This window comes from Homo sapiens, chromosome 8 (assembly GCF_000001405.40).
Source record: "Homo sapiens chromosome 8, GRCh38.p14 Primary Assembly".
Lineage (NCBI taxonomy): Eukaryota > Metazoa > Chordata > Mammalia > Primates > Hominidae > Homo > Homo sapiens.
This window is the reverse complement of record NC_000008.11, coordinates 29,405,835-29,420,948: the sequence shown is the minus strand read 5'-3', so window position 1 is coordinate 29,420,948 and position 15,114 is coordinate 29,405,835. Positions and strand designations below refer to the sequence as shown.

General features: G+C 40.0%; 3 annotated features.

Moving 5' to 3' along the window:
* Positions 12,098 to 12,167: an enhancer, noted in NCBI's record as "active region_27192". NCBI's record gives its function as "activates an Ori minimal core promoter by ATAC-STARR-seq in GM12878 lymphoblastoid cells {active_cell/tissue: GM12878}" and the evidence as "EXISTENCE:reporter gene assay evidence [ECO:0000049][PMID:35858748]".
* Positions 12,198 to 12,507: an enhancer, noted in NCBI's record as "active region_27191". NCBI's record gives its function as "activates an Ori minimal core promoter by ATAC-STARR-seq in GM12878 lymphoblastoid cells {active_cell/tissue: GM12878}" and the evidence as "EXISTENCE:reporter gene assay evidence [ECO:0000049][PMID:35858748]".
* Positions 12,528 to 12,607: an enhancer, noted in NCBI's record as "active region_27190". NCBI's record gives its function as "activates an Ori minimal core promoter by ATAC-STARR-seq in GM12878 lymphoblastoid cells {active_cell/tissue: GM12878}" and the evidence as "EXISTENCE:reporter gene assay evidence [ECO:0000049][PMID:35858748]".

Sequence of the window (15,114 nt, the reverse complement as noted above, 5' to 3'; positions counted from 1 at the left end):
TTCCTTTAGGGACTGAGCCCCTCGCTGGCCTCCTCACTCTCATCACATTGGTATCCCTCAGACCATGAGCTCAGCTTTAATAAACACACACAAGAACACTTTCCCCCAGCACCTCCAGGCCCCTGCTCATGGATAAATATCCCCCATCTTCTCCTGTCCACCCTAACTTCCACTAGCCAACATCTACTGCTTTTCTAAGGTTAAACTTGCTCCACCGCCCAGGTAACCTTGCCTCCTGTCTCCCTCTTCTCCCACTCTGTTGGAGGTATTTACACAACTGCCTCTCTTCCCACAGAGCTATATGCCTCCCAGAGCCAGATCCCAAATCTAATCCTAGCATCCTAGCACATATACTACATAAGGCCAGAGATGTGTGTGTGTGTGTGTGTGTGTGTGTGTGTGTGTGTGTGTGTATGTTTTGCTCCTCAAGACGGGCTACAGCATTTGCAGGGCCAGTGCTAAATGAAAATGCAGACCCTCTTGTTAAAAAACATTGAGAATTTCAAGAAGGCACCAACAGAGCATTAAATCAACAGGGCCCTTCTGCTTGTACATAGCTGGTGCTCAAAAAGGTCTGTTGAAGGAATTTTTTTTTTCAGGTTTTGCACCTGGTATAATGATTTGTGGAAAGCACGTGTACCCCTGCGTTCTGAGAAAGGCACACACGCTGTGGCTGCAGTGGTAGAAAGAAAGAAGGGAGGATGGGAGAGGCGTTGCACAATTTATGATGAAGCAAATGCCTCATTTAACAACATCCAGACACTGCAAACAACCATGCAGGATTCCTCTTTATGGTCCTATTGATGATTGCACGTAGCAACAGATAATCTACTCCCAGACTGGCAGGCAGAACATGAAGTGGGTCTCTCTACCCAGTCAAATATTTTCTGCTTTTAATTGGATAGCAACATAACAAAAAGAGCTTTGCAAAAGGCATTTGATCCTGGGGAGAAAAAACATATATTTTTAAAATTTCGCAAATAGCTTTATTTTTTTTTCCATTTGCTAAAATGTAACGTGCTTGTTTTTGTAATTATTACTCTATTCTGAACAGGTAGAGAGGTTCCTTCTAATCGCACCTTTTACACAAAATGACTCTTATGATTTTGGTTTATTTCATGGTTTGTTTGTTTGTTTGTTTTGTTTGTTTGTTTTTTGAGACAGAGTTTCACTCTTGTTGCCCAGGCTGGAGTCCAATGGCACGATCTCAGCTCACCACAACCTCCGCCTCCCAGGTTCAGGTGATTCTACTGCCTCAGCCTCCCAGGTAGCTGGGATTACAGGCATGTGCCACTGCGCCTGGCTAATTTTGTAGTTTTAGTAGACAGGGTTTCTTCATGTTGGTCAGGCTGGTCTCGAACTCCCAACCTCAGGTGATCTGCCCACCTCGGCCTGCCAAAGTGCTGGGATTACAGGTGTGAGCCACCACGCCAAATGCACAGCAGCATGACCTTTCATTTCTCCACATATCTCTTAAAAATTGGGACATGGCTGGGCCTGGTGGCTCACACCTGTAATCCCAGTGCTTTGGGAGGCCAAGCCAGGCAGATCGCTTGAGCTCAGGAGTTTGAGACCAGCCTGGGCAACATGGTGAAATTCCATCTGTACAAAACATACAAAAATTAGCCAGGCACAGTGGTGCTCACCTGTAGTCCCAGCTTCTTGGGAGGCTTAGGAGGGGGAATCACTTGAACCTGGGAAGTTGAGGCTTCAATGAACAGAAATCATGTCACTGCACTCCAGCCTGGGTGACACAGAGTGAGACCCTGCCTCAAAACAAGGGGGGGGGGAACATTACTTACATACCATAAAGCTGCAGAAAGTCCAGAACCATTCATGTTATTATGTTAACAAAACCATAACTGTATTGCCATTACCATACCTAACAAAATTATCCTTAATCCTTTCATATGTATCACCTGATTCTCTCTTGAACAAGTCCACCAGATTCCATCTTTATTAAGATGGACTATCACCCCTAAAATCTGCGTGTCCTGCTATGTCCACTTAGAATGGATTATCTGGAAAACTACTGCCTGGGAATACCCAGCTTCAAGGGAAGAATGAGTCATGTCAAAAGTGTGTTGTCATGTCCATTCCTGCTTTATCCACCACTCTGGGTAGAAACGTCTTAATATTCTGATATCTGGGAGGTTAGGCACCTACCTAGTTTTTCTCTTAAAGAGGAAAATCAGCATTTCAGCTAACTGTCTTTATCCTCCAATATTGAATGGACTTTTCTCTAATCATTGATTTACTTTTATGTCTCACCGTGCCCACATTTCTCCTCTCCTTCTTGCTCATCCTCCTCCTCACCTGATGAAGACTGATAACGTGGTGCTAAAAATACCAAGTTTCATTCACAAACCCTTCTTCAGAAAACTTAGATTTGATTTGCAGTACAAGGGTTTTCTTAATCATTCTGTTCTCAGTCTTAAACACATTCTATTAATCATTCCATTAGTAGTGATGCATCCCACTAGCCTCTTTCCCTTCAGGACAAATCCACTGAGCAGACGGTGGGCTTTCCTCTGAGACTCATTAAAGGAGAACAGCATTTAACGTCTAAATTGATTTTTAAATATAAAATAACACGAACACTAAATTAATTCCATACAGGGATGCTCTGTGCATAGTTGGAAAAAGATTATTGCCAACAAAAGTCCAGAAACGTTGGGACCCATCAAAGGCCAATCCCAGAGTTGGTTTTCTATAGAAGCAAACACATTGTGTTTAGAATTCTACCCTGAAATTTAAAATAAGGCTAACATTTAGTTAGCAATTTACCATGTCTTTACTCATCTTTGAAGCAACCCTATGAGGTAGGTACGATTATGCTCATTTAAAAAAAGTTATTTTTTGGAGAGAGAGGATCTCACTATGTTGCCCAGGCTGGTCTCAAATTCCGGGTGATATGGTTTAGCTATGTCTCCACCCAAATCTCACCTTGAATTTTAGCTCCCATAATCCCCACGTGTCCTGGGAGGGACCTGGTGGGATTGAATCATTGGGGTGGTGTTTCCTGTGCTGTTTTCATGATAGTGAATAAGTCTCATGAGAGCTGGTGATTTTATAATGGGGAGTTCCCCACCTGCACATGCTCTCTTGCCTGCCGCCATGTAAGACGTGGCTTTGCTACTCCTTCACCTTCTGCCATGATTGTGAGGTCTCCCCAGCTATGTGGAAATGTGAGTCCATTAAACCCCTTTTTGTTTATAAATTACCCAGTCTCAGGTATGTCTTTATTAGCCATGTGAGAACACACTAATACACCTGGCCTCAAGCAATCCTCCCACCTCAGCCTCCAGGAGAGATTAGTTTTTCTGGGAAGGATTGTTTCTAGAAATGAAAATTCAGAATAGCAGTTCAGACAAAAATTGTGTTACTGCTTCAGTCTGTTCAGAGGACAACAGTAATAGAGTGAGATACACAAATCCCTGTCTGTAGGTTTATTACCAATTCAACGAACACTGATAAAGACACTTTTGCTTTCATAGCCTGTGGATTTTTTTTTTTTTTTTTACCACTAGAGCTATTCTATAAGCCAAACCTGTGTCCCAGAGAGTAAATAACTGCTTACCTGGGAGGCCAGACAGCCAGAAAGAGAAGGATGAGATTAAATCATGGGCACACAGGCCAGTGAAATTGAAAATGATCATTGGCCACCTGAAGAAAAAACAATAATAAGGGAGGGTGGGGCAGGAAGGATATGTGTGTTTGATGGGTAGATGGGAGTTGAAGGAGTGCTAAATTCTCGTCGCACATAGTGGAAGATCAATTGATAAATGCTCACAACTGAAAAAGCCAGGAATATAATATTGTGATATAGAGATACTATAAGTTGTGGCTAAAAGAATTGAAGGGGATTCCCCCAAGAAATCCCTTTCTCTTAGAAGAATAGATGGGCCTTTGTGAGTCCACTGTTATACAAAGAAAGGCTTGTAGAACTACTTGACTCTTTTAAAAACTAATCAGATTTACTGAATTTGTATACAGTATAATTTGCTTATAATTTACATACAATAAACAACCTTTTTTAAGTGTACATTTTAGTGAGTTTTGATTACATATGCAGTCATGTAGCCACAATCACAACAAGATATAAAAATTTCCATGACCTCAAAATGATTCCTAGTGCCCCTTTGCAGTTAATCCCTCCCCCCAGTTCCCAGTTCCTACACTCACTGATGTGATTCTTCCCTGTAACCTTTTTTAGAATGTCATATAAATGGAATCATCCAATACATAGCCTTTTATGTCTGCCTTCTTTGCCACTTAGCGTGTTTTGAGATTCACCCGTATTGCTATGTGTATCAGTAGTTCATTCTTTTTTTTAATTTCTGAGTGTATTTCATCATACAGACGTACAATTTTTTTTTACCAGTTGAAGTACATTTGCATTGTTTCCAATTTGGATCCATTACAAATAAAGCTGCAAAAAACTTTTGCATACAGGTTTCATGGTAGGCATATGTTGTATATATCTTGGGTAAATACTTAGGAGTGGATTTGCTAAGTCATATGATAAGTGTATGTTTAACTTTAAAGAAATTACCAAGCTCCTTTTCAAAATGGCTGCACCATTTTGTATTCCCACCAGTAAAGCAAAGCACAAGAGTTCAGGTAAATTCACATCCTTGCCAACACTTGATAAAATCAATCTTTCTAATGTTAGCCTAGAATGTTACACTAGAATGTGGGTGTGTAGTCATATCTCACTGTGGTTTCAATTTACATTTTCCTAATGTCTAATGGTATTGAGTATCTTTTCACATGCTATTTTCCATGGTGAAGTGTTTCTTAAACCTTATCTTCATTTGTTAATGGGGTTGTGTAATTTCTTATAATTGAATTGTAAAAGTCTCTATGTATTCTGGATACAAGTCCTTTATCATATATATATTCTGCAAATAATTTCATCCAGTTCTTGGCTTTTTAAATTCTTTTACAAGTGTCTTTTGAAAAACAGTTTATAATATTGATGAAGTTAAATTTATCATTTTTTTCATTCATGCTTTGTACTATTTTTGTGTCCTACCCAAGACATTTTTTACTAATTCACTGTCACGAAAATTTTCTGTTTTCTTCTAGTAGTTTTATAACTTTAGCTTTTATATTTAGGCCTATGATTCATTTTAAGTTAAATTTTGTAATACAGTGTGAGGTAAGGGTCAGGGCTGTTTGTTTTTTGTGCTTTTGTTTTTGTTTTTTTGGCATATGAAAATCCAGTTGTTCCAGCCCTATTCGTTCAAAAGATTATCACTTCTTCATTGAATTGCCTTGGCAACTCTGTTACTGGAAAGGGATCCCAATCTAGATCCCAAGAGAGAGTTTTTGGATCTCACACAAGAAGGAATTCAGAGTGAGTCCATAGAGTAAAATGAAGGTAAGTTTATTAGGAAAGTAAAGGAATAAACAATGGTCACTCCATAGGCAGAGCAGCCCCAAGGGCTGCTGGTTGCCCATTTTTATGATTATTTCTTGATTATATCCTAAATATAGGATGGATTATTCATTTCTCCCCTTTTTAGACCATATTGAGCATTTGTAAACTGTCATGGCACTGGTGGGAGTGTAGCAGTGAGGATGACCAGAGGTCACTCTTGTCACCATCGTAGTTTGGATGGGTTTTAGCTGGCTTCTTTACTGCAGCCTGTTTTATCAGCAGGGCCTTTATGACCTGTATCTTGTGCTGACCTCCTATCTCATCCTGTGACCTAGAATGCCTTAACCATCTGGGAAAGCAGCCCAGTAGGTCTCAGCCTTATTTTACCCAGCCCATATTCAAGATGGAGTTGCTCTGGTTCAAACACCTCTGACAACTCTGCTGGAAATCTGTTGACTATGTATGTGTGGATCTACTTCCAGACTCTCTCTTCTGTCACATTTATCTTTATGTCCGTCTGAATACTAATGCCTCACTAAGTTACTTATTATTACAACTTTATATTGTCTTAAAATTAGGTAATGTAAGTCCTCCAACTTTGATGTACCCTTTCAAAAAATTAGTTTAGTCTTTATTAGATTTTTACTTATAAACGATTTTATTATAAAAATTAAAATTAAAAATTAAACACCACAAGGAAAGGAAAAAGACAAGCCAAGAACTTAGAGAAGACATTGGTAGCCCATATAAAAAACAACAGATCTTTTATCTATAATATATACATTGTTCATACATTCAATAAGAAAAATACACACAAACCCAAATAAAATCCGATAAAGAACCTGTAAACACTTAGCAGAAAACAAAGCACTAATAGCAAATAAACATTTGGGTGAAAAAATTCTAAACTACCTTGATGGCTGGGCGTGGTGGCTCACGCCTGTAATCCCAGCACTTTGGGAGGCCAAGGTGGGTGGATCATGAGGTCAGGCGTTCAAGACCAGCCTGGCCAACATAGTGAAATCCCATCTCTACTAAAAATACAAAAAATTAGCCAGGCATGGTCGTGGGCGCCTGTGATCCCAGCTACTTGGGAGGCTGAGGCAGGAGAATTGCTTGAACCTGGAAGGCGGAGGTTGCAGTGAGCCAAGATTGTGCCACTGCACCCCAGCCCTGGCGACAGTGCAAGACTCCGTCTCAAAAAATAAATAAATAAATAAATAAACTACCTTGATAATTAGTAAAAAGCAAATTAAAATGACAATAGGCTATCAGTTTACAATGTAGCAAATTTTACAACTTGGGAAAAATTAAGAAATTGACAATATTAACTATTTGCAGAAATGGGAAGCAACAGAAACTCTTAACACTGCTGGAAAGATTGTAAATTGGTAAAACTCCTTAAAAAAACACTTGACATTACAGTGGTCCCCCCTTATCTGAGGGAGATATGTTCCAAGACCCCCAGTGGATGTCATAAACTATAGATAGTATGGAACCCTATATATACTATGTTTTTTTCTATCCATAACATACCTATGATAAATTCAGGTTATAAATTAGGCACAGTAAAAGATTAACAATAACTAATAATAAAATAGAACAATTAGGCACAGTAAGAGATTAACAATAACTAGTAATAAAATAGAACAATTTTAACAATATATTATAATAAAAGTTGTGTGAATGTGCTTTCCCTCTCTCTCTTTCTCAAAATATCTTCTTGTACATAATATTTTTGGATCACAGTTAACCACAGGCAACTGAAACTGCAGAAAGTGAAACCTCAGAAAAAGAGGGACTTCTGTATCTAATGTAGTTAAACCATAAAATTTTAAATCAGGAAAAAAAGACAGAATAATATACAGATGTTCCTCAGTGTACAATGAGGTTACATACTGATAACCCTATTGTAAACAGAAAATGCATTTAATACAACTAACATATGGAACATCATAGCTTAGGTTAGACTACCTTGAATGTGCTCAGAACACTATGGGCAAAATCATCTGGCATCACTGCACACTGTAGTGTCAGTTGTCCCCCCTGTGGTCATGTGGCTGACTAGGAGCTGTAGGCGCTGCGGCTCACTGCTCCTGCTCAGCATCTCAAGGATGCTATTGCGCTTTCTACTGAATGCATATGGCTCTCACATCATCACAAAGTTGAAAAATCATTAAACTTGAATTCTCACAAGTTGGGTTTATCTGTATTATTTAGTGGTGTATACATATACATAAAGAAAAGTGGGGTCAGGCATGATGGCTTATGACTGTAATCCCAGCAATTTGGGAGGCAAAGGTGGGCAGATTGCTTGAGCCCAGAGTTCAAGATGAGCCTGAACAACATTGTGAGACCTCTTCTCTACAAAAAATACAAAAATTAGCCAAGCATGGTGGCATATGCCTGTAGTCCCAGCTACTCAAGAAGCTGAAATGGGAGGATCATTTGAGCCTGGAAGGTCAAGGCTGCAGTGAGCTATGATCATGCCACTACACTCCAGCCTGGGCAATACAGCAAGACCCTATCTCGAAAAAAAAAAGAAAGAAAGAAAAGAAAAGTTGGAGAGACAAAGATTAAATCAGAAAAGGACATACAGAGAACTTCGAATGTCTTGTCAATATTCTAATTTCAAAGATAAATAGTACATACAGCATTATTTCATTGATTTGTGACTGTTTTATTATGATTATTATTTAAAATTTATATTTGAAAGGTGGTAAGCAAAGCAATACTAGGCAAATGTAAAGCAAAAGGAAATTGGAGTAGAGATATGAATCTCAGACAAAATGAAATTTAAATTTATAACCACTGAATAAAATAGAGGAACATAAAATTCAAATGTCAGAAATGTTTTGCTTTCTTTCTTCCCACTTATACTAGGTGGACATTATCTGAGAAAAAAGAAAGAGAGAGACAGAAGGAATTAAGTATGGACTCTATTTCCTTGGAGCAGTATTGTAAATCTTGGTTGATTATCTTGCCAGATTAGATTGATGACCTAGAAGCTTCATTGAGTTAACTTTGTATTGAAATATAATATCAGCAGAGAAAAATGTACATATCAGAAGTATCAATGAGGTTGGGCGTGGTGGCTCACTTCTATAATACCTGCACTTTGGGAGACTGAAGTGGGTGGATCACTTAAGGTAAGGAGTTCAAGACCAGCCTGGCCAACATAGTAAAACCCCATCTCTACTTAAAATATAAAAATTGGCTGGGTGTGGTGGTGTGCACCTGTAATCCCAGCTACTCAGGAGGTTGAGGCAGGAGAATTGCTTGAACTGGGAAAGCAGAGGTTGCAGTGAACCATGATTACACCACTGCACTCCAGACTGGGTGACACAGCAACACTCCTTCTCCTCCCTCCCCTCAAAAAAGAAGTATACAGCTCAAATAATTTTTAACATTTTTAAATTTTTAAAATGTATTTATTTTTGAGCTAGCACCTTACTCTGTCACCTAGGCTGGAGTGCAGTGGCATGCTCATAGCTCATTGCAACCTCCAGCTGCTGAGTTCAATCATCCTCCCTCCTTAGCTGGGACTACAGGTGTGGGCCACCACACCTGGCTAATTTTATTTTATTTTATTTTTGTAGAGATGGGGTCTTGATACATTGCCCAGGTGGGTCTCAAACTCCTAGTCTCAAGCAATCCTCTCACCTCAGCTCCCCGAAGTGCTTGGATTAAAGGCATGAGCCACTATGGCCAGCCCTAATGAATTTTTCAAAAATGAAACATCTGTGTAATTAGTCCCAGACTAAAAAAAACAGAACATTACTAGCACATTAGAAGTACCCCATGTGACCCTTCCAGTGACCACCTTGCACACAAGGAAACCATTATCCTGACTTCTCACATCATAGATAAGTGTTGCCTGTTTAGCAGGTCTATGTTTAACCACATTCAGAAGTAATACATGTAATTTTGCGTGGCACCTGGAATAGAGACTGGTTGCATTCCTCACTATCCCATCTGTACTCCAAGACACAAGGAATAAATTGAAGTGATTATTTAATGCTAAATGTGCATCTAGTCACCCTACACATATGTCAAAAAGCCAACAAATTAATACAACGGTGGGGTGCCTTCACACTCAGCCCAACTTAGAAATTTTTAAAATATCAAGGGCTTGCTATGTGCTAGGTACTGTGCTGAGTCCTTTACATATATAATCTTATTTTATCTTCATAGACATTCCCTTAAAGGTGAGTTCTGTTATTTTTCTTACTTTCCAAATTCAGAAACTGAGCCTCACAGATACTGAACAACTTCACTAAGGTCACACAGGTAATAAGTGGATCTTTCTTACTCAAAAGGCCATGCTCTTGGTTACTGTACTATTAGACCTTCTAGAGATAGTTGATCTCTCAGTGTGTAGATAAGAAAATCAGAAATAGCTTCAAAGTCCCCTGAGTCTATACAAGCTGTGTGATAAGCTTCACTCCTGACTATAAGAGAGGACATATTCATTATTTTAGAGTTGATATACACAGAGGAAGAAGCCAAGATAATAGCCCCAAATGACCCCCGTCTATAGGGCTATACAGAATCCAATACCATTTCTAATCATCTCACCCCACAATCCACCCCCAACCCCACATATCCCTGAGATGCCTGGAAGAGGGAAATTCCCTTCACACTTCCAGACACAACCAATGATTAATATCTGTAGGAACTGAGTTATGCTTAAATTTGATTTTCATCTCTATCTTTCAACCCGAAGTAGGTACCTCCTTGTGGCTCATAGAACTAAGATATGAATTGGGCATTCCAGTCTGTTTACTGTCTTTTATAAAGAAGATTGGATGAGACTTTCATGTAGTGGCAAATAGCTTCTAACACTTTAATTCTACAAAGACAAGATGACTGAAAATAATTTCATTGTGCATTGAATGAATATGTTTATTTTCTACTCTTGTAAGCATTCAGCACTTTACAGAGTTAGGAAATGAACTTATGGATTCCATTTGGTTTATTTCCCAGAAACTTACATCTGCCAAAAAGGATACATGGGAACCTTATCTGGTCAAATTCCAGCTGACCTATGCCACTGGCCCATACTCAATGATGAAAATGAGTAAGAACTTTTCTCCACTATCCACAGATCCCCACCTAGTAATCATCCCAGCAGAGCTTGAAACTCTACTGTCTGGTCTTCAACCGCTGCAGTTCAACTCTTCAAACCAGATGAGTCTGTGGTGTTTTGGCAAAGAAAGGAATTGGGACAATATTATTCACCACTTAAGAATAGGATGGATCCAAGCATACTAGGGTGATGAGCCTTCTTGAGGCATTCATCCTCTTGATCAGAGAGTAGCTTCCTAACCAACCTATGTGTGGTTGAGAAACTCCCATGACTAGGGGGCTGTAAAAATTGCATCTAGAAAGAAAACCATCCTGACACGTGTAAAAGAATCAGGATCAGACATGATATTCCTTCTGACAAGGTCCCGGGGCCTTTCTATCATTGCCCAAGATAAATTCCTGATGAGAAGCCTAATGTAGGAGCAAACACAATGACTTGAGGCCATGCTAAGCCTAATAATCACCAGTCACCACTAACTGCCTCTCGTGATAAAAATCATTTTTATATAAATCATTTCATTTGACCTCTATGTCCTATGGATGTCATTAGTGCCCTCTGCCAAATATTTCTGGATCTACCCTTTACCAGGCACGTGATACAATTGCACTTTCTGGCTCCCTTGTAGTTAGTTGGGGCCATGGGGATAGTTCTGGTCAATGAGTTGTGACGAAAGAGAAGTGGGTGACTTCCACTTTAAATGGTTTCATTACACATAAGTAGCAACATTCGAGATAGGAACAGCTTCATCAGCCCCGGCCTTTGAGTAACTGTGAGGAGTGAAGTGGAGCCCCCGCCCCCGCATCCCCCTCCCCCGCCAACCTTTGATGGACATCAAGTAAGAATACAAGAAACAGACCTGTGTTTTGAACTGCTGAAACTTTGGGGTTGCTTTTTCCACATTATGACCTAGCTCATCCCAATTTATGCCACTATTAGGTGGAAGAGACAATTGTTATAATCATTTTACAGTTTCATTCATTCTTTTATGCAGCAAGCATTTACTGAGCCCCTACTTTGTACCAGGAATTGTACCAGCTCATCAGTACTGCACAAAGCAGACCTAGTCCTTTACCCTAGATCTGTGGCTACAGATATAAAAATGTGGAGAGAAAAATACCTTCATTTAAGTGACTTGGCTTGTCAATTAGCCTCTCTGAGGTTAGTCCTCTAATCTGTGAAATATGTATATATATTACCTACCTTACAATATTTTTGTAAAGATTAGCAAAATGGCATATGAGAGGGGAAAACCAAACAGCCATAAATATTTCTTTCACATTTCATAACAAATTATTTTTGACAAAGAAGAAAGGATTGCTGAAAATGAGAATTTAAATTCTCTGAGCATCAATTGCCACTTTCACATTCATCCTTACTCAGGGGTGTCTCGGCATTTGTTTCTTTTTTAATTTAGTACTTGGCACAGTTTATCTTCCAGCCTTTTTCTAACAATAAACTCCAAAGTCTATAAACAATAGCTTCGGTTTTCTTTGGAGACAAAGTATCTCGGAGAGGCCCCTGTGTTTCCATAGGCTGAGCTTTTTACTAAGGACAAGCAACACCTTCCTCCAGATTCTCAGGAGTCCCTGAGCAGAGAAGGAACTCTGATTTGTTATGGTCTTTTCTGCATTAAAATCAGCCCAAAGGTGAGGAATGTGGGGAAGACAGAGAGAAAAGGTTTCCAGAGGCTTTTCCAGTCCATAGGCTGGACAGAGGGACTTGAGGTAGCAGGATGTTTGCCTGTGACCTACATGATCATTTTCACAGGCATCAGTGTGTCTCCGTGAGTGGGCAAACATGACTCAGGCCACGCCTGTGTGCCTAAGGATTTGCGTGATTTAGAAGCTCTCACCAACTTCCTCAGTGTCAAACAGAAAGTGAGAAGAGAAGAGGCCTGCACATGGAGTGCGTTTTCTTGAGATAATCATCATCACCATCTCAAAATAGTCCCTCAACCTTCTAGGCGATAGTGATGACATTTGGACCGTCTAGAAAACATGCAAAATAGCTGTGAATCTACGTACTCTTTAGGAAGTGAGCGGTAATGAAGAAACAAATGTCTGACACCTACACCTTGGGAAGTTAATGAAAGCCAGTAGGCTATTGACTGACAAACCTAAGAAATGAATGGATCTTCAGGTGGGAAGAGCATGCCTTCAGTTTGAGGATGCAATGAATTGAAGGTGTCCATGAAGCTGTTGAGTAGGCAGTTAGAACTATGAATCTAAGCTAAGATGAAACATTTGGGCAGAAGATAATTATTTAGTAGTCATCTTTATATGAATGGTAATTGAATACTGGCAAATAATTGAAACTAATCTAGATTCTAGACCAGGGGTATCCAATTTTTTGGCTTCCCTGGGCCACACTGGAAGAATTGTCTTGGGCCACACATAAAATACACTAAGGCTAACGATAACCAATGAGCTATAAAAAGAAATTGCAAAATAATCTCACGATGTTTTAAGAAAGCTTATGTATTTGTGTTGGGCCACATTCAAAGATATCCTTGGCCATGTGTGGCCCACAGGCCACAGGTTGGACAAGCTTGTTCTAGACAATGAAGGCAGAAGAGGTGAAGAATAGTGTGAAACCCATTGAGATGGCCAGGGGCAGTGGCTCACCCAGCACTTTGGGAGGCTGAGGCAGGTGGACCACTTGAGCCCAGAAGTTTGAGACCAGCCTGGGCAACATGGTAAAACCTTTGTCTCTACAAAAAAATACAAAAAAATTACCTGGATGTAGCTAGTGCAGGCCCAGCTACACAGGAGGCTGAGGTGGGAGAATCACCTGAGCCCAGGAGGTCAAGGCTGCAGTGAACTATGATCATGCCACTATACTCCAGCCTGGGCAACAGAGTGATGGGAAGGGAAGGGAAGGGAAGGGAAGGGAAGGGAAGGGAAGGGAAGGGAAGGGAGAAAGGGAGAAGGGGAGAAGGGGAGAAGGGGAGGAAAGGAGAGGAAAGGAAAGGAAAGGGAGAAAAAGAAAGGAAGAGAGAGAGAAAGAAAACAAGCCATTGAGATTACTCAGAACCTCGAGCCTCCTGCTTGGTCCTGCTAGAAAAGAAACTAAGAAAACTAATGGAGAACACTGGGGCTTGTCCCTTTATTCTGTTCTAGCCATTAAAGGCATAAACATGCCAGTTCTACCTAGACAATATAAATGTAAAAGTTAAGATCATTAGGTTTTAGAATCAGATAGACCAGGATTTGAATCTCAGTTCCAAAATTTACTAGATGTATGCCCTTGGGCAAGTGATTTAATCTCTTAGTTTCAATGTCATCATTTATAAAACATATTAATAATATCCACAATGAATAGCTACCTGTGAGAATTAAATTAGATAGTACATCTATACACAGTACAGCACCTCCTATGTAAGTGTTCAGAAGGTGATATATAAAAACATTATGATTGTGGCCATAAGACAATGACAGCTATGTGTCCAACAAATATCCAGGCTCCACTTCTGCAGTGTAGAGTTCTTGCCACAAAGTGGAAGCTCAGCCAGGGGCTACACTTCCCAGGATCCCTTGCAGTTAGGTGGCCATGTGGCTGAGTCCTGGCCATGGAATGTGAGCAGGACTGGCCCTTAGAAGCAGGCAATGCAACACTCCTCCATGATCTTTGTCTCCTTCCAACTACATGGGAGTAGAGGTAACCTCCAGGCAAGCTTGAAAGTCATGAAGTGTAGAGTAGGGTCAGCAAAGCCTGGGTCCCAGAATTATTATGTGGAAGAGGGTCACCCTGCTGAACTGTTCACCCACTTGTTATATGAGCAAGAAATAAATTTTGAATGCACTAGAACCATTATACACTCGGAGGTCTATTTGTTACATCAGTTAACTTACCCTAATGGATTTTATTTTTCAGTGGCATGGCTCTTGAGAATCAAGTATCTAAGAGGCACTGCTAGATAATAGTTCATTGTAGGGCCTTTGTGTCCTACTCGTATTCTCTGCAGGGTATCAAATACTCAGATTTATACTCTTTCTAAAAATCTTTTCTGGGATGGTGGCAAATGCCTGTAGTCCCAACTATCTGGGAGGCTGAGGTGGAAGGATTTGAGCCCAGGAGTCCTAGGCTGACTTGACCAACAAAGCAAGAGCCTTTCTGTTAAAAACAACAAAAAACAAAAGCTTTTTGAAAGGAGAGAAAAGGTCACTAGCATTAAGGATAGATAGCAGAGGCTGTCTATATGACAGGACACACGTAGGATTCACAGCTATAATGCGCCATAAGAAAGCAATGTTGGCTCTAAAAAGGCTATGGGAGATTGGAATCTGCAGAGATGTGGTCAGTAAGGAATTTCTGGTAGCAATGTGCCAGAAGGATTTCTGAAAACACAGATGTCCAATATTTATTTTTAAGTTACTTGCATTGCCATTATAGAAACCCATCTTCTCAAAACCTCAACAAGTTTGATATGTACATACACACACACACACACACACACACACGTCACACATTAAAAAGAGAACAATATTGACCTATACATCCAACAAAGGTCCAATATCCAGAGTCTATAAGGAACTTAAGCAATTCAACAAGCAAAAAACAAATAACCCCATTTAAATGTGGGCAAAAGACATGAGCAGACACTTCTCAAAGGAAGACAAACAAGCAGCAAACAAACATG